Raw genomic sequence first — 25691 nt, forward strand, 5'->3', positions numbered from 1 at the left:
TAGCGCAGCACCTGGCACAAATTAAGCATCAAAAAAACCTTCCAGAATGAGTGAACTGAGCCCTTTCGTGCTTTCATTTGTGTTTACTAATATATAAAGTACTCCTTTTTCATTTATTCTGTTTGGGTAAACTCTTAAGGAATTTTTTGGTGAAAATGTGTCAATATATTTTTCAAAATTAGTTATTAAGTTAAATTTGATACAAGCACCTTGGAATGTTTATAAATGTATTAAAAGATGTTTGGTCTATATTACAATATCAAAATAATTAAATTGACATGAACTATATCATAGGATACTTTTTCTTTTTCTTTTTGTTGAGACAGAGTCTTGCTCTGTTGCCCAGGCTAGAGCACAGTGGTGCAATCTCGACTCATTGCAACCTCTGCCTCCCAGGTTCAAGTGATTCTCATGCCTCAGCTTCCCGAGTAGATGAGATTACAGGCACACGCCACCATACCCACCTAATTTTTGTATTTTTAGTAGAGACGGGGTTTCACCACGTTGGCCAGGCTGGTCTCCAACTCCTGGCCTCAAGTGATCCACCCACCTCGGCCTCCCCAAGTGCTGGGATTACAGGCGTGAGCCACAGCACCCCGCCCGGATCCTTTTATATTAAAGGAATTCATTATTTCTTAAACTTAGAATAGTGAACATCTTTGCTTCTAAGAATATGGAGATAGAAATGGAAATTTTACAAATATGGGTAACATTTCAGTGTCGGGAAGTTCTTCATTTGAAACATAGCTGTGCAGCCATAAGATTGGAAAGAGATGGGCACATATTATAAATAAGGGGGGACAAGACTAAATTGGGATAAAATATATTATTATGATTATGTAATGTTTTAATATAAAATGTGAATACCAAGATCTTGGATAGTGAAGTTGAATTTTAAGAAAATTATACTTGGGAGGTCTTATAACAAACATAAAAGACTTAAATAAGAGAGCATAGCTCATTTTGTGATTATCGTAGTCAAAGATTTATTTAAAGAGAACCTCTGCAGTACAAAGAATGAATTTAGCTTCCAATATAAAATGTGTAATGTCTATATTAATCATTTCAAATCATAGTTTTCCCTCCTGAACTCAAAAGAAACTTAAAAAAATAAATGAAATCCTCTGCTTTTCCTTTGCTGTCTGTTTTGGTTTTTTGACAATGTGGAAGTAACAGACTACTAAGTTATTTCTCACAAAGGCAGCCCAACACTTTTCCATACACAGATTACTTTTTCTTAATGTTTTTTTTCCTAACTACACATGTGAAGATTTCATGTCCATCATTTGTCTTCGTTTTACTTGGCAAGTTCAAAGAGCCAAAGTTATGTTATATTTGATAAATAAACTTCTAAACATAAACAGGTCAAGCCACAAATGTCTAATAACATTGCTCTTCTGTTCAAAAGTAATGATCGTCCTGGTACTTTAGATCTTAAAACATCAAAGAATATAGGATTAAAATGGATTTTCATGTAGAAAAAGGATGCCAAGAATCCAATTAATATTTTTTTAATCAAGCAGAATGAGATTTGGGTATAAAATAAATGGAAATTATTTGGATGAAAATAGTTAGGCCTGTGCTTCTTGGGACCATCAAAGAAGTCAAATTAGTGTTTTCGTGACATACCTGGGTGGTGAGAGGACAAACCTGAGGTGTGCCCCCAGAAAGCATGCAGTGTGGCTGAAGGAATGAAAGTGATAAGAGAAGCTGGGCGTGGTGGCTCACGCCTATAATCCCAGCACTTTGGGAGGCGGAGGTGAGTGGATCACCTGAGTTCAGGAGTTCGAGACCAGCCTGACCAACATGGAGAAACCCTGTCTCTACTAAAAATACAAAAATTAGCTGGGCGTGGTGGCACATGCCTGTAATTCCAGCTACTCAGGAGGCTGAGGCAGGAGAATCACTTGAACCCAGGAGGTGGAGGTTGCAGTGAGCCGAGATTCCACCATTGCACTCCAGCCTGGGCAACAAGAGTGAAACTCTTTCTCAAAAAAAAAAAAAAAAAAAAAAAAAAAGAAAGTGATAAGATGACAGGTAGGGGAGACGTGAATGAAGAGTCTGAGGATCAAAGGTGTTCTTGGTGAAGAGGATAGAACCACGGGAGTAAAAACAGTCATCAAAGCTGGAATCAGATAAGAAGATGCTTTCATGAGCTAAAACTCATGCCTAAGTGGAGAAATAAGAGCTTACCTTAGTTAGGCAGAATTATGGGGAATACTCAGTCCTCCGAATAACTGTAGCAAATGTTTACAGGTCATGAATAAATGATAAAGAGATGATCTTTTTAAAACATTATCTACAAAGGAGCAAAGAAAAAAGAAACAGACTTCTTCATAGTGGTGAATGCCAGAGGAATTAAAATCTCTTCAGACTTATGAGGCAAAAGCTGTTTTTCAAGGTCAAAGACAAGACATTCTCAGACATAGAAGAACTCAAGAAAGAGACCTTTTGTGTTGTAGATTACCTTAAACAAATTTATGAACAAATTAGGTCATTTTGGCAGTGCCCACGTGAATGGCATTTTTGCCACTGTGGGCTTCAGTGGACTGTTGCTGCTTTTTTTCTCTCTCTTTTTTCTGTTTTCTACATCATCACTTTTGAAAATGTTTGATAACATTTTCAACATTATTGACTTTTCCATTCACACTGTTGGCAAAAACTACTTTACCTGTGGCTAGGTGTGGTGGTTCATGCCTATAATCACAGCACTTTGGGGGGCCAAGGCAGGCAGATCACCTGATCAAGACCAGCCTGGCCAACATGGTGAAACCCTGTCTCTACTAAACATACAAAAAAATTAGCTGGACATGTGGTGCATGCCTGTAGTCCCAGCTACTGGGGAGGCTGAAGCAAGAGAACCGCTTGAACCCAGGATGCAGAGGTTGCAGTGAGTCAAGATTGTGCCACTGCATACCAACCTGGGTGACAGAGTGAGACTTCGTCTCAAAAAAACAAAAAAACAAACAAAAAACCCTACTTTACTTAAAAACTAAAAATATTAAAAATATGGTAAACTGTGTTCTGTAGAAAATTGTTCCAAAAGGGAAAAGGAATTTAGAATCTAGAAATCAGTTATATTTCCTTAGAAACTCCAGTAGTTAGGGAGCATGAATGTTCACAGTTAAGTAGCTGTAAAACAAACACCCCTGAGTACACCTGTGATTGCACCAGCTTTGTTTCAAGGGACACTCCTTTCCTGACCTCTCACAGCCCCAGCACTCTAATTAACACAATATTTTGTAACCCATTCTTGTCATTGTTGAAACAAAAAGGTACAGTCACTATACAAAAGCAACTGTATCTTAACAAGCCTGTTGTACTGTGTGTGAGCTTGAACTCAGAGTTTAGTTCCATTATAATCATAGTAGTCTGCATAATGCAAATCTCATACCCTACTTAATCTGTCTTGTTATATTCACTTGCATTATAAAAAATCTCATTGTAAGAGAAATGCCCAAATGTGGTTTGGGCTGAGGGAAAGATAACAAATAAACTAAGTACAGTCAGGGGTTTTAAGCTTTGAAAAATTAAATTAGAAGTAAACTAGGAAGGATAAAAGAGGAAAAATACTCTAATTCTGTCTTCGGCCTGCTCGATCCACAAAATACCATATAACTGAGTGGCTTATAAATAACAGAAATGTATTTCTCACAGTTCTGGAGGCTGGAAAGTCCAAGATTAAGGCACTGGCAAATGTGGAGTGTGTTGAGAGCCCATATCCTCATAGACCACCATCCTCTCACTCTGAGCTCACATGGTAGAAGGGTGAGGGGTCTTTGGCCTCTTTTATAAGGGCAATAATCCCATCCATGAGAGTACTGCCAAGATGACCTAACCACCCCTCAATGGCTCCTTTTCCTAATACCACACACTTGTGGGTGAGGATTTCAACATATGAATTTTGGGGGAACATAACATTAAAATCTTAGCAAATACATTGATGGTTGAAGAGTGATGTGGTCAGGTTTTTTTGGGGGGGGCAGTTTGGCTGTTTTTATCAAGACCCTTTTTGCATACTCTTTGACCCAACAATTCTGTTTTTAGAAATTCATCCTAAGCAAACAGTCATGAGCATATTAGAAGATTTAACTGCAGTAACTATCATTGCATTGTTTAAAGTAGCAGGAATATGAAAAATAACATAAATGATATAAAATGGAATACTATGTGCCATTTTAAAATGAAGTAGAAAAATAGTTAATGATATGGGAAATTTTCACCAAATACTACAGTAAAAAAGTCGGTTGACAATAGTTACTGATTATGATTCCATTTTTGTTTAAAAAAATAATTCACCTACATGCATATAAAAAGAGGTATAGAGAATTTCTAGAAGTGTATTCACCAGAATGCAAACATCAGTCTCTCTGATTGGAGGGAAAATGGATGACCTTTATTTTTTTTTTAAATTTATTTGTGTTTTAAAATCACTACTATGATCTGAATATTTGTGTCCCCCCACCCACCCCCAAATTTACATGTTGAAATCCTACTTCCCAACGTGATAGTATCAGGAGGTGGGACCTTTAGGAAGTAATGAGGCCATATGGGTGGCGACCTCATGATTGGGATTAGTGTTCTTAGCAAAGAGACTTCAGAGAGCTGCCTGGTTGAGAATGCGCTATCTACGAGCCAGGATGAGGGAAAAATACGCCGAGTTTGCCAGTGTCTTGATCTCGGACTTCCTAGTGTCCAGAACTCTGGGAGATAAATTACTGTTGTTTCTAAGCCACCAGTTTATGGTATTTTGTTATAGCAGCCTGAATATACTAAGACAATGGCTGTATATAGTTTTGATTCACGTGAAATTGGCTTTCATATTTCTTCTGTTTTCTTCTGAAGTGTTCATATGCACAATTATTGTCCTTGATCCATTTATGAAAAGAAAAAGCTGTTTTCAATAAAGTATTTTGGAGGGTGGGAAAGAGGGTAAGAAGAGGAGGAGAAGCAACATCAGACACGAGGAAGAGCAGAAAGAACTATTTTCCATGAATGTCTCCTTTGTGTTAGATCCTTTATTTCACTATTTAATTTAGGACTTATGATCTGCTACAAAAAATGTAGCCTATTTTACAAACGTAAAAACTGAGAAGCTGAGTAACTGGCCAGGGATCCACTGTTGGCTAGCATGCAGCCAGGATTCATACCCTGCCCTCTTTGGCACCAAAGCCTGACTTATTTCCACAAACGAGGAGGACCTTCTCCATGCTGAGTGCAGTAGTAGATTCTAGAGCAAAACGTTTTATAAGATTGGTAACTTCCCTGTGCTTTAAGCCTTGCATTTTAGATTTTAGCACAGTATGACTCATTTTAGTCGAGAACTATGTTACCTGTGACTTGCTTGAAGGAAGGAAGGTAGGTAACATGTACTGCATGACATTTTCCTTTGTGCCACAGGTTAAAACAGAGTTCATATTGAGTATAGGGTTCATTCTTCCCTGACACATCTTTTTTTTTTTAATTTAATTATAACAGCTTATACTTTAGGTTTCTCTTAAAGTGCTACCTAACAATACTGAATGTTTTAATTGTGCTTTTTATAGAGTCAGGTCAATAATTTGAGATGTGTGCATCGCCAATAGAGAAGGTGTTATTTCTTTTTAAAGTTTATTTATTTTATGTTTTTTAAAGACAGGGTCTCTCTCTCTCTGTTGTCCAGGCTGGAGTGTAGTAGTGCAATCATAGCTCACTGTAGCCTTAAACTCCTGGGCTCAAGTGATGCTCCCACCTCAGCCTCCCAAGTAGCGGGGACTATAGGCATGTAGCACCACGCCTGGCTAATTTTTATATTTTCTTTCTTTCTTTCTTTCTTTTCTTTTGTAGACACAGGGTCTGCCCATCTTACTCAGGCATGTCTTGAACTCCTGTCCTCAAGCAGTCCTCCCACCTCAGCCTTCCAGTGTTCTGGGATTACAGGTGTGAGCCACTGCATCTGGCCAAGAAGACATTCTTTAGGCAGATATAAGTGCTATATTTTCTTCAAAGACATATAACTTTAGGCCGGGCACAGTGTCTCACACCTGTAATCCCAGCACTTTGGGAGGCTGAGGCGGGCGGATCACCTGAGGTCAGGAGTTTGAGACCAGCGTGACCAACATGGAGAAACCCCGTCTCTACTAAGAATACAAAATTAGCTGGGCATGGTGGCACATGCCTGTAATCCCAGCTGTTCAGGAGGCTGAGGCAGGAGAATCGCTTGAACCCGTGAGGTGGAGTTTTTGATGAGCCGAGATCACGCCATTGCACTCCAGCCTGGACAACAAGAGCGAAATTCCGTCTCAGAAAAAAGAAAAAAAAAAGATATATAACTTTATTTTTTGCTATTCAGTCTTGAATCTCTCTGCATTGATTTGAGAGTGGTCCAAATTTTTCTCCAAATCTTAGCCATTATTCACCTAGCTTCATTTAATTATAATCCTTAAAGTCCCTTGAACCCTTACTGTGCACATTGCAAAGTGCTTTTTCTGAATCACCTTATCAAATTCTTAGGGTAACTCTTTGGGAATCCAGCAGTATCTCCATTTTGTGCACTGGGAGACTGTCTTTAAGTTACTTCCCCAAGGTTACCTAGTGAGCAGATGGTAGACCAGGACTCTCATTCACAGTCCATCTGATGCCAAAACCTTCCCTCCAACATTAAGTTACATGATATTTATGGGGAAATCCAGCCTCCTCTCATTTATAATGGTGCTTTTATTTTCACCAAATTTCTGTTTTTTGGTGATGTCACTGCAATGTTTTAATTGCTGTGGCTTTATAATCATGTGTTTCAACATCATTAGAGTGTGCTTACCCTCACTTCTCTTTGAAAAATAATTTTGGATAGTCTTATGTATTTGTGCTTCTAGATAAGCATGGTTTTCAATTTGGAAACTGTTCCTTTGCCATAAAAAATTATTTTTTATTTAAATTGCATTTAAACATTAATTTGAAAAAAGTGAAATATTTATTTAAAGATGAGATTTCCTACTTAGGAGTATTATATCCATTTAGACACTTCAGTTAAGCATTTTAATTTTATTTATGTATATCTTGTCATTGTCTTGTTATATTTATTCCTAGATGTCATATAGTTTGATACCACTCTACCTGGGACTTTTCCAATTACGCTTCTGTTACAAAAATTAAAAATTATGATATCTGGCCACCTTAGTGAACAACTTTATGAATTTTTGACATTTTCATGATAATATTGGTTCTTTACACAGACAATTATGTTATCTGCTAATGACCACATTTTCATTTCTTCTCAGTATTTAAAACTTTTCATCTGTTGCTTTGACTAGATTTCAGAACCAAGTTGGGTATAAACCATAAATTGATATTGGTAATGTTTTACTTTAAAAAAAGTACTTCTTTTCCTTTTGGTTTCTGATATAAGAGCTCATCTCAGTTTATACAGGTGTACTTTAGGAGAGGTTAGAATAGTGCTTAATTTCTCAAGAGACGTTGAGCATGTGGGTACCTGTAGTGCATTCAAGCACAGAGATTGCCTTGTGGTGCTGTGCAAGGTAGCCTCTGATGAATGGCAGGGATTCCCTCTTTATCCTGGAGTTTCCATTATGTTTGTAGTGTTGCTGCTTTTATCTCCACTACAAGGCTTTTTTCTTTATGACCTGAAATACTTGTGGTTTAGCCTCACATTAGGTTCGCCTCTATGTTGTAATTTAGTGCATACCACTAAATTGGTGGATACCGTGCCCAGAAACCTTAAACACTGTGCTAGAATTGCTGTTAGGCAATTTAGGCCTTTCCTGGCACAACTGGAACCAAAGAAAGGGGGTGGAGCTCATGCAGTGCCTGGGGCTATTTTTCCCTCTGCTCACCTGGAATCTTCCTTCCAGAAAGCTGGGGGTGGGGCCTCACCAGTGCGGTGTTTCGGTAATAAGCCCGCTTCTATAGACCTGGAAGTGACATCGTGAAGTCATTCAGTTTTCATTCCTATGAAGAAATTCCTTTTCGTATATACTCTTTAGCGTTGCATTGCTTTTTCAGAAGCATATTTCTAGTGAATATCAAGAATAAATATTCATCATTAAAGAAGTTCACTCTATTCTTAGTTTTCTAACAGTTGGAATTTTTTTGTTCTTTTTAAAAATACAATAATGGCTGTTTAATTCGTCAAATGCTTTTTTAGCATGTATCAAAATGATCAGATTCTTTTTCTCTGTTAAACAATTTATAAAGCTTTATCATATTAATACTATATCACTGCTGTATTTCTGGATGAAACCTTTTTGCTCATGGTTTATAATTGTTTTAACATACTACTCTATTCACATTGCTATTTACTTGTGTTGACTACATTATTATAAATAACAATAGCATTTGTTAAGCATGTGCTCTGTGCCAGGCTCTGAGATGAACACTGTATGAATCAGCTTAATTTTCTCAGCATTTCATTTTACAGCTAAACCGTTGCACAAAGATTTAGCTAACTTGATTAATATCACGTGGCTATGAAAATGTGTCATGGTTGCTAGTTAAACCCAGCTCATTTTGACCCCTAAACCAACCTGTGATCAGAAAGGTGTTTGATGACATAAGTGAGATGGTACATGACTTGATTTTATAATTAATACTATCAAACTGCTTCAGCAATCATAGTTGAATGGATCTGTTTCCATTATAGGGACATGCCTGTCATTGGAAACAGATTCTCCTGTTCATAAATCAGGGTACCCCTTTCTTTGAAAAATCTATAGAGACACAGACAATTTTTGCCTCTTTGAATTCCCCTCATTTGGATGTCATAGAAACCATCCTCCCTCTTTAGTAGAGTTACTGATGGTCCTGTGCTGTCAGCCTCCTGAACCCCCTTCAGATGCTCTTATGATAGAAATAGATGGAGGAGAGAGCTGGTCGTTCATGGGTGAGTAAAGAAAGAAGGGGCACATAGTAAGTTTAAGCCCCATGCAGAACTGGTCCTGATATAATTTAAAAACCTGATAATTTTCCAAACTTCTGTTTGTGCTTGTTCAGATACTTGTTAATAACAGAAAAAAAGGCTACGTACTATCTTTTCTTCCCTTCCTATATCTAAGTAGAAATTATGGAATCAAGATCCAGAGAATTCACAGATGTCTGTACGGATTCTGTTTTCAAGCACAATAATGAATCATGTCCACTGTCCTGAGTTCACCCAGTCCCCAGGGGCCTGTGACAGGAGCCAGATGCTCCGGTTTGAAGGACATTATGTATTGACTTGTTCTTGCTGGTTTTTCTCAGAACCAGCATATCTAGCCAGTTCGTTTCTTGACACCCTCCCCAGTCTTCCCCCCCACCAGCATACTCAATGTCCACATCTCACATCACTACTTTGGTACTCAAAAATCTCTTATTTGAATCTCAATTTCTTTTTTTGTCTTTTCCCACAGATCTGTTCTCCAATTCTGACAGGCAGACTAATGACCCCCTAAAGATGTCCATGTCCTATTTCCCCAAACCTGTTAGGTTACATAGCAAAGGTGAACCAAGGCTATAGATGAAATTGAGGTTGCTAATCAGCTGACCTTAAGGAGATTTTCCAGGGCTATCAACGTGGCCCAGTGCAATCACAAGGGACCTTAAAAGTGAAAGAGGGAGGCAGGAGAGAGCACGTGAGACTACTCAGGCAGCGTTGCTGGCTCTGCGGGTGAAAGCAGGGCCTTGGCTGAAGCTTCCTGCAGACGCAGAACTGGCTAGATATGCTGGTTCGGAGAAAAACCAGGGCTCAAGGCCCTGCTTCCAGGGCCCAAAGTAGCCCACTTCCAAGAGAGAGAAAAGGCAAGGGAACCAGTCCTCCCCTACTCTCCCTCCAGAAGGAAAGTAGTGAGACCCATGCCAGACTTCTAATCTATGGAACTGTAAAATAATAAATCTGTGTTTATGCTTTATTTCGAACCACAAATGTGTAGTAATTTGTTATAGAAACAGTAGGAAACTAGTTCATCATGCCATTCCCCTAACTATTCCAACATCTCACTACCTGTATCTCAGCCACTGCTCATCCAGCTCCAGCTGCCTTGCTCTGTGCATCATAACCATACAGGTAGCCGCTTATTTGCTTACTTCTTATGTGGCCTGTTACCCCGGTGTTGAGACCCCCACCCCAGAGTATAGTGTTACTTCTTAATGTTCACATTTTTGAAACCTCATTTTTGCCATGGTAACTCTTCCAAATCTCATTACTCTTACTCCCTCAGTCCTGTCTTTAGTCCACTACATTTTAGTAGATGACCTTACCCCTACTCTACTGGTGATGTTGACAGCATCTGTCTTGAGCTCCCTTTACTTTCAAAACCTCTCTGTGAATTCCAGTCATCCATTTCTGGGTTTCCATCTCTGGACCTCTGTTCAGCATTTCACAGTGTCAACACCACCTTCCTTTTTTCCATGGCCTCTGTGACATTGCATTCATTTTCCCATCCCTCTAATTGCTTTTCCCCCTTTATATCAGCCATATTTTTTTCAGTCCTTAAATCTAAGCCTTCCTTAGTTTCTGTTCTCAAACTTCAGGCCTCCTTTTAAAATTTATTCATTCTCTTGATGTCATAGCTTCATCCAAGACTTCAGTATCACCACTACAAGGGATATCTTCACATCTGGCTGTCATGCCCCTCCAGGCCCCAGGCATACTGCTAGGTAACATCTTCTTTTAGCCCCAGTTCATGAGAGAGAGAGGGGAGTCTTCTTTCTGTAAACTTGTATTGGGGATTATCTCAGATGCAGGATCTTAGAGTCTTGTGTTCTGGACACTCCAGGCCCTTTTATGGTGTGGCAAGGGAGGTGGCAGGACTTATGGACAGGGCACCAAGATCCACTTGGGTTGAGGTCAACACAGGTACCCCATTCTTCCTCCCCATTCCAGCTCTTACCTCCAGGATTTATGCAGAAAGAAATGGGCTAGGCTGAAGGACCTGTGTTTTATTCCTCTAGGGGTTTGGTCAGTTTTGTTACAGGTACTCCTTATGGGACCAGGGAAAACCTGCTCTGAAGACTTTATTTCAGAGGTGGGCAAGTATGAGGTTCAGTTTGCTCTAAATGGCTTCTGAGGGACACTTGGCCAACTTTTCCCTTGGCAGTAGATACTTTTGCGTCATTTGCCTTAGGTTCTTGTACACGGGGAGGGTGAGAATTTGGGTAGGTAGAAAGGTCTGTGAGGAGACCTGAAGTTGGAAAGGTCAGTGTCATTGGAAGACAGTTGCCCTCTTTGGGATGGGTATGGATCCTTACCTAAAACACTAGGGTTGGAGCACCATTCTAAAGCACAATGGAGCAGTCCTTTCCCATGGCAGCTCATGCCTCGTCCTAGATCTCGCCAGGGCCAGAAGCACCTCCAGTGCTTTGTGGACTATGTGCTGCAGCACCCAGTCCCAGACACACAGGACTTCACTCATTGAGACACATAGTTAACCATCTTTTCAACTCACTGCAAAACAATTATTTCTGAAGTAATATGAAACCTTGCCTTGAGCTATAATGATATAAAGACAATTAAATTATATCCTCTTTGCTTCTCTATTGAGCCAACTGTAAAACATAGTATTTGCCTTGTGGCTTTGGCAGGTGCACATGATTTGCCTGGTGTGATGTTACATCAGTGAAAAGTGTTGCCTCACAATCAAACTCATCAGGCTTATTCATCTGTACTGGAAGGTTTATTCAACTATAAATACAAGACAAGGCCAGGTGCAGTGGCTCCCACCTGTAATCCCACCACTTTGGGAGGCCAAGGCGGGCAGATCACTTGAGCCCAGGAATTTGAGAACAGCCTGAGCAACATGGTGAAACCCTGTCTCTACAAAAAAATGCAAAAATTAATCTGGTGTGGTGGCATGAGCCCGTAGTCCCAGCTATTCGGGAAGCTGAGGTGGGAGGATTGCTTGAGTCTGGGAAGTGGAGGTTGCAGTGAGTCATGTTAGTGCCACTGCACCCCAGCCTGGGTGACAGAGGGAGACCCTGTCTCAGAAAAAAAAAAAAAAAAAAAAGACACAAGACATTTAAGGATGGGTGCATCATCACGGTCTTTACCTCCATGATCTCAACATCTTAGACTCTGAAGGGAAGGCGTTTTTTTTGTTTTGTTTTGTTTTGTTTTTCCTTTAGTAATATTACATGCTTGACATTTTTCTAGCCTACCCACCTGTGGCAAAGGAAGGTAATTTAATTTTTGTACTAATTCAGGTGAACATAGTTAAGTTTATCCTGAAAGGCTCAGCAAACACATATTTTTCTTTTGTAGCTGTGCAATATGTAAACTGTCACCAGTTGGTGGCTTTTAGTAGCGCTCCCCATTGGGACCAGAGATATCTAGCTACAGCTTATGGAAGGGCGTTGGCCAGAAGCTGCCAGATATGGGAAGAAGGAAGCATATTGTGGGCTCTAGAAATAGGAAGCTACCTACAAAATTATATAAAGAGACTATTCTGAAAGCACGAAGACCTAAAGTGACAGCTGTTTATGATGACAGCAAGAAGGGCAGAAGTATGCAACAAAGAAAATGGAGCTGAGATATTAAAAGGAATGAACAACACTTAACCTAATCCCAAAAGGAACTATGGGAAGAATTAGCCTGGGGTATTCATCTACCACATAAACAAAGCAAAAACAAACAATTGAAATTTTTCAGATTCTTTAGAAGGAAAGAAAGACGAGTATTGTTAATGTTTTATTGCTTATCTGCCAAGAACTACACAAACTAGTTTTTACATTTGTTCTGTCATAAGATTCGTAAAATATGGTGATTGCACTTTTGAATCTCCTTATCTGGAGATCTAAAAACATAGTCAATAGTCCTGTCTTCCTGAAGTAATTTAGGTGTGGTTGCCTGTAGGCAGGGAGATCATTTTTTATAGTCTAGAGGAATGTTCAGGGTCTCTTTGGCTCTGTGAATGGTTCTGATTTGAAGATACGGATGACTAGAACAGGACTGTAATGGAAGCATCTATTTAAATTTATTTTTTCCTCGTAGCTTTAATTTTTAAATAATTTAAAGGAAATATTTAAAAGTCAGATAAATCCTATGTGAATCAACTATGTTCATGTTTCTATGTCACCCCTCAGTCTTCATCTAGGACCCCCATGTTTGTGATATAGATGAAATGATATCGTTGAGACATTTCCGTGTGTGTGTATGTGTGCTGGTAGGACCTCAGACATAGGGGGCTGAGTTAATCAACCTTCTCAGATCGTGGTCTGTCATTACTGGTCCAAGCCGGGCTTCTTGTCATTTATCATTCATTCCCTTTTATTCTCATTCTCCACTCCCATTTCTTCCCCCACTTCACACTATTCTATTGTGTTCAATGTATATAGGTTTTTATTTTTATGTACCTATGAAAATTATTTATGTGTTTTTTTTAGTGTCCATCTGTGATGTATGTTTAAAACAGATGGACACTAACATCCCATTCAGTTTTTCTTGATGTAAACCTGTTTACCCTTTTGGTGTATATTTCTGGCTTGTTATTCCTAATTGCTGGAATCTAATTGCTCTGGAATCTCAGAGCTTACCTATCATGCTTTATTTACCCTCTAGCTCCCCATTGCCATAGATAATACTGTGATGAACATCCTTCAGCAGGTCCCTTATGATGTACATAAAGTATATACCTGTTGGGAGAGGATGCTTATCTGTGAGTTAAATTGCTAGGTCATATGAGCTATATATACTTAATTCTCTGGAATGACTGAACAGTTTACATTCCTTGTAGTGGTTCACATTTCTGTCAACATTGGAATTATACAGCTTTCTGATTTTACCAGGCTAATAGGTATAAAATGATACATTGTTTTCATTTGCATTTTTCTGATCACATACAGGTTGGAGCATCTTTTCATGGTTAATTCAATTTTATATTCTTTTTGTCACATTTTTATCTATTGCAGTACGGTTCTGGGGTTTCTGATATCTGAATTAATATATTGAGATGTATTTAACCCTGACAGTTAGGTTGAATCATATGCAGGTGCCAATGTTGGCCATTTTTGACCTTTAAAAACAGTGAAATCTGGCCGGATGTGGTGGCTGACACCTGTAATCCCAACACTTCAGGAGGCTGAGGCGGGCGGATCACCTGAGGTCAGGAGTTTGAGACAAGCCTGGCCAACATGGCGAAACCCTGTCTCTACTAAAAATACAAAAATTAGCCGGACATGGTGGCGCACACCTGTAATCCCAGCTACTCGGGAGGCTGAGGCAGAAGAATTGCTTGAACCCGGGAGACAGAGGTTGCAGTGAGCCGAGATCGTGCCGCTGCACTCCAGCCTGGGTGACAGAGTGAGACTCTTGTCTCAAAAAAAGCCCGAAAAATAGTAAAATCCGTGGTCCAACTTAGTATGTTGTTGGACGTATTCTTTTTGTTTTCATTGTTATAAATAGTATTGCAGTGACCATATGTTGATATATAGCCTTTTTCTTCTTTTGAATTTGTCATTAGGATAAATTCCTAAGAGAAGGATTACTGATTCAGAATGAACTTTTCTATGGCTATTGTTACATATTGCCAAATCACTTTCTAAAAGGACTGTACTCATTTACATTAGGCATCATTTATATGGTAACTCTACTGGTTTTACTCTAACTTCATAATCATTATACATTATCATTTAAACCATTAGTAACTAAACATTACCTCATTGTTTTTATTTATATTGTTTAATTATAGTTAATATTAATCATTTATTCAGGACGAATAGTGTGCTTTTATGAGTATGATCTATTTGTGCCCTGAGTCCATTTTCCTATTAGTGTCTTTTTGTCAGTTGATTTGAAAGTGGGTTTCTATATATGGTAGTTTTACCCTGGCTTCAGTCCCTGAAAATGAAATTATTCATTTACATACAATTTATTCTTCAGATGACAATCAAAACAAAACACATGATAAAAAAGAGAAGAAGATGGTGGTTCAGAAGCCCCATGGGACTATGGAATACACTGTGAGTATAACCAAGGTGGTATAAATGTTTGTTAATAGCACTACATTTATATAATGGTTTTCCCTGACACATCCTGCCCCTTGGCTGCATTCCTCTTGTGTACCCATTAAACAATCAAGCTTCTTAAGACCAGTTTTAGGTCATTTCTTTTTCCTCCATATTTTCTCCCTGGTCAATCTCAAATAAACCAGTGAATTGAGAATGTGAGGGTGATCTGGCTGCAACATCCATCACCCTGTTGACCACCAGCATTGTTTAGGCTGATCTGGCTGACTAGGCAGGTATCCCTTTCTTCCCCCACCACTCCATGTGCATCCCTCTGGAGCTTGGATGAAGAGGATGACCTTCCCCAATAGAGGAGGACATTTCTTGGGTCACGGGTATTCTAGTAACTGTGTTGCCCTGTTAGAACCTCCAAACTGATGACTTGAATTATTTTTGATATAAACAGGGACTACCACTTTTAGGTCACCAACCCAGACATTCTTTTTAAGTTCCAAAGCTATGTACTCATTTGGCTACTCAACATATCCACCTGGTCCTCCATGCTTGGTCGTCTTTCAAGAAACAATGGCTCCATCATTCCTACATTTGTGCAGGCTAGAACTTAATTCTTGACATCTTCATCCCCTTACTCTCCATGTTCGTTACTACCTTCTGTGATTTTTCCAGCCAGTCTAGGCCATATCCCTTTTTTAACATTCTCGTAGAATCATGTTGCTTAACTTAATTTATCTCAGTTTAACATTATTAATTCATTAGCGTGTTGTTATTTTAATCTCTATCTCATGCTTTAATTCATATATCCATGAAGAGAGATTAGACATCTCTTTGTTCACCATTATATTCCTGGTAACTTGCAGGGTATAGATCTCCATATTGTTGAGCAGTAGATGAACAATGCTAGGTGTGTGTTCATTACTACAACTCCACACTGTGTGCCATGTGCTCATCTCTGTCACTGCATCATAAGCTCCTGGAGGCCGGGAGTTGTATCTTATGTATCCTAGGCTTGGCACAAAGTGGGGACTCAGTTGTAGATATATTTTAATTCACTATTAAGTAGCACTCTTGAGGAGTGTTCTCTTTGACTTCTAAGAAGAAATTAAGTACTATTGCCATTGCCTGGTTGTATTTTCCTAATGTGTACTTATTTTATAGTCATTATTTGTAAGCAATGCCAGACCCTATATAAGACAGGCAGCAAGATCTAATTCTTTGCTGGTGTTTCTTTTGCAATAGTAAATCTGCAAGCCTCTGTAGAGTCACATTGAAGATCTCTGTCACAGGCTTTCATGATCAATGCCCTGTGAACGTCTCTAGACATCTTTCTAAAGTGTATAAGCATAGTCATTTTTAGAAAGGATTTGGGATGATTATATCTTATATTACCATTGTCTAAAATATACTGTTGATTCTCATAACACCTAGAATAGTGCCTTACCTCAAAATAGGCACTCAAGAAGTATTGGACTCAATTATTTATTATTAATAACAATATTACTTCTAAAGCCATAATCATTAAGATCTGTATGTGTCTAGCACCTTTATTCACATGCTCCTCCAAAGAATGGAGAGGTGCTTTTGCCAGGAGTTACTTCATATAGTATATACTGAATAATGTAGTGACAGTAAAAAAAAAAAAAAAAATCAAACTCCGAATTAATTAAATATTAACAAGTGATCAAGTCAATAATGCAGGTATGCCTACCTCTCTGTTTCATGTTATGGAGATTAATTTTATTTGACAAGTTGGTTTTGTGCTTGTCATTGGAAATAAAAGGTAACTCATATAATTTTGTGTTTAAAGAGCCTGCTAGCACTTACCCGATTGCTTTTACTACTCCTGAGCTGTGGATGATCAAGCATTCTGGCTTAGTTTCAGTCATTTGATGATACCAACATCCCTCTCGGGGTCTGTGCCCTAATTCTACATGTATGTCTTGTCTTTAATAACTGCAGATTGTTAAAGTTTTTCTTACTCTGATCCCCCTATACAGTGTATGTTTTACAAGTTTACTCATAACAATATGAATATAGTATACAAATACATAATACAGTATTAAAAATATTTTTTAACTTTGTTTTTAGTGGAGATGGTTTTACCTAGGGTAGAAGTAGTGGCATATGTTGTTTACTTTAGTGATTTAAAAAATTATACATACTACATATAATATATCCTAACTTGTTCCAGAAGGGCTTTGAGGCTGTTTCAATGTAATCTGTAACCGTAACCTTTGATTAGTCTGAGACAGTTCATCTAGTAGTTGGACCTCTGATACTGAAGGCAGCGATGGGTTTAATTCTCCTCCTACATCTCTACCCTTTCACCAGTCCACATCTTCCTTCAGCCTCCTCACATCTCCACATAATTCAAGGCTCACCTGGTGGAGCCAGTTCTGCTTACAAAGAACTTATACCAGTCTTGACCCAGGGCTATCAATTGGAACTTCTCAGTGACATTCATCAGAGTGACCTCCCACTAGCAAGTCTATCTGGCAGCTCTGATCAGGGAGTTTGTCCTGGGATGTTGACATGACATCAGGGAGCCAACTTTTTTTCTGGGTAGAGCTGTTTTCCTGTGAAGTTTCTCATCTCCTCACTGCCCTCTATTCCTGTTCCTCCTCAGAAGGAAAGAAAAGTGTACACCTGGGACATATGTCACAAGTTTTACAGATTTAGAGAATAACACTAATTTGACCATAGAAAAGTGTGGTTTTAATGATAGTGAACAATTATTGGTAGCTAATCTGAATTTCTTTCTGATTTCCTTGCTTTCACAGTATTCATTCATCAACTTTTTGAGTACCCTCCATGTATCAAGCAGTGTGCTGAGCCCAGGAGAAAACATTTTGCCAGCTTTGCCATACAAGCCAGCAGTTTATAGTATATGGAAAAGTCATGCAAATAGACAGAAAATTATAAGAGAGAAAGTAGCCCCACTTCCCCTGAGGGTGGGGACTCTGTGTACATCGTATTTCTTTTCTTGTTGTAGTCTTCATTACAGCTCACGGACCTTTACTTCATGCGCCTCAGTTGCACCAAAGTAAAATTAGAAATCTATTAGGGGACAGTGAAATTTGAAAATGAGGAAGCCCAGAAATGAATTGCATTTAAGACTTTGCTGTAAAATGATTTTATTAAGAATTGACAATGTATTCATTCTTTCTTATAGTCTATCTTGATGGAACTATTAGTTTGTTATTTATTCATATTGCAGATAAATTAATAGTATCTATCAAAAGTAATTTTTTTTGCTTTATTTATTGACTCTTACCTGTTTGATTATTCTAGGCTGGAAACCAGGACACCCTAAACTCCATAGCACTGAAATTTAACATCACTCCCAATAAATTGGTGGAACTGAATAAACTTTTCACACATACTATTGTTCCAGGCCAGGTAATTATACTCTTACTGGATATAACTCTAGAAATTCTGCATTTATCTTTTATTGCCGTTTTCAGTGCCTCACTATTGTTTGTCACAGGATTATGATAAATGATAATGTGCTTTGGTTCAATATTTTCTCTCCTTTATTTTTATTTATTTATTTTTTGAGACAGGGTCTTGCTCTGTTGCCCAGGCTGGAGTGCAGTGACACCATCATGGCTCACTGCAGCCTCAATCCCCTGGGCTCAAGCAATCCTCCCACCTCAGCCTCCCAAGTAGCTGGGATTACAGACATGAGCCACTGCACCCAGCTCAACTTTACGATATTTTCATATTCACAGGATACCTTGGCTACACATGCTTAAAATTTTTTTCCAGGCTGAAATGACAGCATTGCTGTATGGTTAAGAACTTTAAGACCTCAAATCCTGATTGGCATATGTGTTGGGAGCAAACCCAAAATTATTTTCTGAAGGCAATAGGAAACTTTCACCCCTGCCCATGATCCAGGCTCACTTCCATGTTGAGGTAGCACATGTTCTGGCGGCTGCTCACCTCTCTTTACAGTGCAGTCAACTGTTTAAGCACAGGAATTACTCCTTAGATTTGACATTTGGAATGTTCAGACAATTGAATCGCAATCTATGTTACCTAATACTTTTTTTAAGAGTTCAGATGCAAAAAAAATTTACTATTAGTGGAGAATTGCTTGGGAAAAACATCATCCATCCATTACTCTAGTTTAGCTATATAAGATAAATAAGAGCTATATACCAAGATCACAAAATTTTAGTCCTTTGTAAATTGCTTTTTACAGAACTCTAAACTTTGGCATTTCCATTGACCCATATTGAAGATGCTATAAAAGGCAATACTCCAAAACTGGTTATTGTATTTACTGTTAGTGCATCATAGAGGACAAATAATTCAGTCTAGGATGCTCCTTTGTATGAGATTCTGTAGGAGAGTACTTGTACTTCTGAGAAACTTCATTTTTATCTCATGGAAGTTGAATTCTGCTAACTAATGATGTTGTCTCTTTGCATTAATTATATGGAAACTCAGAGTCACTTTTATGGCCCACTTCTTAATGAGTGGTTACCAGTTTTGGTGCATATATTTTTAGTAGTTATCAGTCCTCATCTTATATCCCCCCTTGACTTTGATTTTCCCACTTTTATTTTAATGTGTTTTTTTATTGTTGTCTCAAATATTTTCTGGATTGAAGTGAGGTTTAAATGACTGGAAAGATAGGAGACAGTGAATAACAATATTGATCAGTAATCAGTTGTTATATGATTAGCTCTGAATTCTGTTTTATAACATTAAAGGTCATCATTTTAAGATTATATTTGGCCGGGCACAGTGGCTCATCCTTGTAATTCCAGCACTTTGGAGGCCAAGGTAGGCAGATCACTTGAGGTCAGGACTTCAAGGACAGCCTGACCAACATGGTGAAACCCCATCTCTACTAAAAATACAAAAATTAGCCAGTAGCCAGGCTTGGTGGTGGGTTCCTATAATCCCAGCTACTTGGGAGGCTGAGGCAGGAGAATCTCTTGAATGTGGGAGGTGGAGGTTGCAGTGAGCTGAGATTATGCCACTGCACTCCAGCCTGGGTGACAAGAGTGAAACTCCATCTCAGAAAAAGACAAAAGATTATATTTGATACATGCCACAATGTAGCATGTCTCATTAAAAGAATATTGAATGACAGGATTGTAGTAATGTTTTGAGAACCAGAATGTTTTGCAGAGGTTGCTATTCTGTATAATTTTTTGGGGTGGGGGTAGTTTTTAGTTACACATAACCCAGACACTGTTGGAAGAGAAAATATTGGGATTATTTTATTGATATTACCTTATACAATTTATCATATAAGGACCTACTGCTTTAGAACTCAGAGCCTGCTTGGAGTTAGCAAGCTGGGTTTGTTCCATTTCTACCTGGCACAGATATTAAGTTTAGAAGCCATGCTTCTCTCTCCTCATTTCCCTTATACTATTAGTCTCCCACCTTGGAGGGCTCTTCCCTCTCTCCTATCCAATTTCTACTTGTTCTTCAAGGCTTCAGTTGGACCCACTTGCTTCACTTGGCCTGCCCAGAATACTTACCCACCTTGCTCTCTCTTTTCTTTTTATTTATTTATTTATTTATATTTTATTTTATTTTATTTTATTTTTTGAGGTGGAGTCTCCCTCTGTCACCCAGGCTGGAGTGCAGTGGCACGATCTTGGCTCACTGCAACCTCTGCCTCCTGGGTTCAAGAGATTCTCCTGCCTCAGCCTCCCCGAGTATCTGGGACTACAGGTGCGAGCCACCATGCCCAGCTAAATTTTTTTGTATTTTTAGTAAAGACAAGGTTTCACCATGTTGGCCAGGCTGGTCTCAAACTCTTGACCTCAGGTGATCTGCCCACCTTGGTCTCCCAAAGTGCTGGGATTACAGGCATGAGCCACTGTGCCTGGCCTTGCTCTCCCTTTCTTTTTGAGTTCTTGCAGTGTCTACAGGCATGTTCTGTACCCTTTGTACTACACACATTCATATGCTGAGTATCATTTCATGGATTAGTCTAGAAAACCGTAAGTTGCTTATGAGTTTCTTGAAAGCAACCTAGGTCGTAATCATGCACTGAACATGATACTGTGTAGAGAATAACTTCTCCAAACACTCACTAGTGGTTTGCCTGGTTGCTGGTACTCACCCATCTGTTCTCTCCCATTCTCAGGTCCTTTTTGTGCCAGATGCCAACTCTCCTTCCAGTACCTTAAGGCTATCATCATCCAGTCCTGGTGCTACTGTCTCTCCTTCATCATCAGATGCAGAATATGATAAATTGCCTGTATGTATATTATGCACTGAAGTTCATTTTTATTAAAGAGACTTCTTTTAAGTTGTAGAATTCAACATGTTATTTTTCACAAGATTACATCTGAAATTCTCCCTAGATGGTTGAGATTAGGTAATTGGAGAATGCATCCTCTCCAAGGGAAACTTATTCACATTTAAGGTTTCAAAGGCAAAAATGGCCAGACACAGTGGCTCAGCCTGTAGTCCCAGCACTCTGGGAGGCCGAGGCAGAAGGATTGCCTGAGCCCAGGAGTTTGAGACCAGCCTGGGCAATATAGTGAGATTCTGTCTCTACGAAATATTTTAAAAATTAGCCAGACATGGTGGCTCAAACCTGTAGTCCCACCTACTCAGGAGGCTGTGGTGGGAGGATCACTTGAGCCTGGGAGGTTGAGGCTGTGGTGAGCCATGATCGTACCACTGCACTCTAGCCTGGGTGACAGAGTGAAACCCTATCTCAAAAAAAAAAAAAAAAAAAAGGCAAAAATGCATGCCTTGTGTAAAAGTATGAAGTTAAATTTCCAGTGACATGGATAGTTTATTTGTATTCCTCCTTTTTTTAAAAAAAAAAAACAAATTGAGTCATGAGTCTAATATGAATTTTTTCATTTAGGTTACTAGGTTAGTGTTTATTTTGTTGTTGTTGTTTGTGTGTGTGAGACAGAGTCTTTCTCCGTCACCCAGACTGCTGTAGTGCAATGGCACGATCTTCGCTTACTGCAACCTCCGCCTCCTAGTTTCAAGCGATTCTCCTGCCTCAGCCTCCTAAGTAGCTGGGATTACAGGCACCGGCCACTATGCCCAGCTAATTTTTGTATTTTTACTGGAGACAGGGTTTCACCATATTAGTCAGGCAGGTCCCGAACTCCTGACCTCAGGTGATCTGCCCACCCCGGCCTCCCAAAGTGCTGGGATTACAGGCGTGAGCCACCACACCCAGCCCATTTAGGTTAGTTTCTAAAGACATTTCATGAGTAAGTTTTATGGGTTCATACATATGCCTTTGCTTTTTTTAAAAGAAAAAAAAAACAGTTTGATTTGGGTATCTGTTATTACATTTGTGATATTTTTGAAGGACAGAGGATATTTGCCTTTTTAATGTTCCACTTAAATAGAAATAGTATACTCACAGGGAATTTATGGGGCTTGATTTATACACATAATTTGTTTGAAAAGTGCTTTTATTTGATTTTGAAATTTTTTGCTTTCACAAGGATGCTGACTTAGCACGAAAGGCCTTGAAACCCATTGAAAGAGTCTTATCGTCTACTTCTGAAGAAGATGAGCCAGGTGTGGTGAAATTTTTAAAAATGAATTGTCGATACTTCACCGATGGAAAGGTATATAGCAATGTAATTTGTTTCCTTTCCTTGAAATCTATGAAAAACTAAACAAAGTTACAAATTACTGGAACAGAGGCTACATTAAAAGATCTTACCCAAAGTGTCAATTTTAGGTTTGACAAGCATCCATTAGTTTTCTTCTGTTGGATGCCTGGAATTTTACTTACTGAGGTAAATGTTGTCACTGAGTGGAAATGTGATTCTTTGTGATCTTGGATTTATTGTTTTTTTCTTTTAGTTTGGGCCTATGAATTGTTAGGGAGACAATATACTGTACATATAACAGCAAACACTGGAGTCAGACTCACTGAATTTAAATTCCAACTCCACTACCCACTAACTCTGAGACCAGGGGCAAGGTATTTACATGTCTTAAGCTCCCATTTTTCTCATGCATAAAATAGAAACAATAAAAAAATTTAACTAATAGGATATGATAATGAAAAGTGATAATTTATGTAAAGAATTTAGCACCTAATCTGGCTAAATAGTAAGCTCTCAAGCTGTGTTTGCTGTTGATGATATTGGTATTAATATCTGCTGTATCTTCTTTTTAGTTTTTTGGTTGTTGCTTGATTGTTTTCTGTGTGTTTTTGTTTTTTTGTTTTCACTAAGAACAAATTCAGCTTTTACTGAGCCTCTGGAGAAGGGACTATCTTGATAACCAGTGAGTTCCTGTGGTCATAGGAGAATTCATACCAGTTTTAGATAATAGGAAAAATATGTTATTGATGTGCATTTATAAAATTTGCAAACAAGAATAAATAATGCTTGACATAAAGAAATTTTTTAAAAGACAGCTTTATTGAGATGTGATTCACATAACATACAGTTCACCCAATTACAGTGTAAAATCCAGTGATTTTTAGTTTCTTCACATAGTTGTGCAACCATCACCACAATCCATTTTAAAACATTTTTATTACCTAAAAAGAAACTCCATAACCATTAGTAGTTACTCCCCATTTCACACTCTCCCACCCTATTCTTTCCCCTTCCCTGCCACCCTCATCTCCAGGAGGCAATCACTTACCTACTTTCTGTCTTTCTGTATTTGCCTATTCTAGACAATTTATTATTCCTTCTATCTAACTGTAAGTATATGTCCTTTGACCAACATCTCCCCCATCCTTCTCTTTCCCCTAACCACCTACACCTCTTTTTTTTTTTTTTTTTTTTTTTGAGACAGAGTTTTGCTCTTGTCACCCAGGCTGGAGTGCAATGGTGCGATCTCTGCTCACTGCATCCTCTGCCTCCTGGGTTCAAGCGATTCCCCTGTCTCAGCCTCCTGAGTAGCTGGGACTACAGGTGTGTACCACCTCATCCGGCTAATTTTATATTTTTAGTAGAGACGGGGTTTCACCATTTTGGCCAGGCTGGTCTCAAACTCCTGACCTCAGGTGATCCACCTGCCTTGGCCTCCCAAAGTGTTGGGATTACAGGCCAGAACCACCACACCCGGCCCACCCATACCTCTTAGTCATCACCATTCTACTCTCTACTTCTAGGGGATCAGCTTCTTTAGATTGCACATATGAGTGAGATCATGCAGTATTTATCTTTGTGTGTTTGGCTTATTTCACTTAACATAATGTTCTCCAGGTTCATCCATGTTATTGCAAATGACAGGATTGCATTCTTTTTTTATGGCTGAATAATTTGTGTATATATAGCACATTTTCTTTATTCATCTATTGATAGATGCTTAAGTTGTTTTCATAGCTTGGCTATTGTGAATAATGCTGCAAATAAACATGCAAGTGCAGATACCTGTTTGAGATATGATTTCATTTTCTTTGGATATATACCCAGTAATGAGATTGCTGAATCTACAAAACTTTTTACTGAGATAATCACTAGACTCATTAAAAGTACCAAAATAAATTATTTGCCTAAAGGAAGTTATCTGTATCCTGCTGTTCATGGTAGATAATATCCGTATGGCCATTAAGGTCTCTTTTATAATTTGAGCAAGCTTCAGACTTCAAAGACTTCACCAAGCTACGACTTTTTGCTTTAATCTCCATAGTTCAGCTATATTCACTCTGGCTACAAAAGTTTCATGTTCCTATTTACTTTGACTTTTGTTGGATATGGGCTTTCTAAATATTTTAAAGAAAAATATTGGGACTATTCTTTGGCACTGTAACTCTGAAACAGCTGCTCCCTTAGCACAGAACCATGCACTTGTCAGACACATGGTGAAGACTTGCAGAGTGAATTGTAAAGCCCTGTATTCTCGATCGGGTAAGCACTTGGGCAGCCCCTCCCATTTTGCAGACAGAGAACTAGAAAATCTAGGAAATCTGAGACGTGCATGTGAGAACCAGGATCACTCCACAACTGTGCTGTTGCAGCAGCTGTGATAGAACCAGGCTCAGCTGGTTGCCTCAGTGAGCCACATCTGTTTTCTCTGCCTCACCACCTAGCATTGCATTTCTTCAGCCTGTTTTTCTGGTCCTCACAAAGGGGATGTAATTGTCACATAGGATACTGTGGTTCACAAAGTCCATGGAGTGGCCATCTGAGTTAATTAAAGCTCTGTGGTAGTTGCTGAAAGCATTTCTGCCTGAAGTGATTCTGTCCTGTTGCTTTCTCCTGCAGGGTGTGGTTGGCGGTGTTATGATAGTGACTCCTAACAACATCATGTTTGACCCTCATAAATCTGATCCTCTGGTTATTGAAAATGGGTGTGAGGAGTATGGTCTCATCTGCCCCATGGAAGAGGTTGTTTCCATTGCGCTCTACAATGACATTTCTCACATGAAGATCAAAGATGCCTTGCCATCGTAAGACATTTATTTGTTTACCAGGAAAAAAGGGGTGTTGAGAGAGCTAAATGTAGCTTAAAAATGAGGGCATTTGCATGATTGAGGGATTGTGTAGAGGTGATTTTGAAGATGGAAGACTTGTGCACTGAAGAAAATGAGAAAAATGAGAAGAAATGAAAAGAATAAAATCAATGATGGGAAAAGTTGAACATATAAAGATTAAAGGAGAAAAACAAAGAAGCCGTCATGTAAAAATAGTATTTGTTGGGCTTATTTTTCTAAAAAGCAGTGCACGTTCTTAATGAAATTATGAAGGAAGAAAGGCAGTTCTCTGAAAGAAGTTTATCCAATTATCAATAAGAGAATAATGTTTTCTTCTGGGTTTAATTAAGGAGAGTTATGTTTGTCTTCA

The 25691-nt window shown here is 38.8% G+C and overlaps 1 protein-coding gene and 1 pseudogene across 17 annotated transcripts in view; both read left to right on the top strand.

Annotated features, from left to right (window-relative positions):
* Positions 1 to 25691, top strand: part of NCOA7 (nuclear receptor coactivator 7) — a 150920-nt gene that overhangs the window by 78932 nt on the left and 46297 nt on the right. For all 17 annotated transcript variants that reach the window (XR_007059204.1, XM_047418206.1, XM_047418207.1 and 14 more), the window contains 5 exons: positions 14843 to 14922; positions 18217 to 18324; positions 21044 to 21157; positions 22380 to 22505; positions 25113 to 25297. Coding sequence is in view for 16 of the 17 variants with exons in the window: in XM_047418206.1 (XP_047274162.1) it covers positions 14843 to 14922; positions 18217 to 18324; positions 21044 to 21157; positions 22380 to 22505; positions 25113 to 25297 (613 nt within the window). In the remaining variant the exon portion in view is untranslated. The remainder of the gene's footprint in view (positions 1 to 14842; positions 14923 to 18216; positions 18325 to 21043; positions 21158 to 22379; positions 22506 to 25112; positions 25298 to 25691) is intronic.
* RN7SKP56 (RN7SK pseudogene 56) lies at positions 15122 to 15452 on the top strand (annotated as a pseudogene).

Source organism: Homo sapiens, chromosome 6 (genome assembly GCF_000001405.40).
Source record: "Homo sapiens chromosome 6, GRCh38.p14 Primary Assembly".
NCBI lineage: Eukaryota > Metazoa > Chordata > Mammalia > Primates > Hominidae > Homo > Homo sapiens.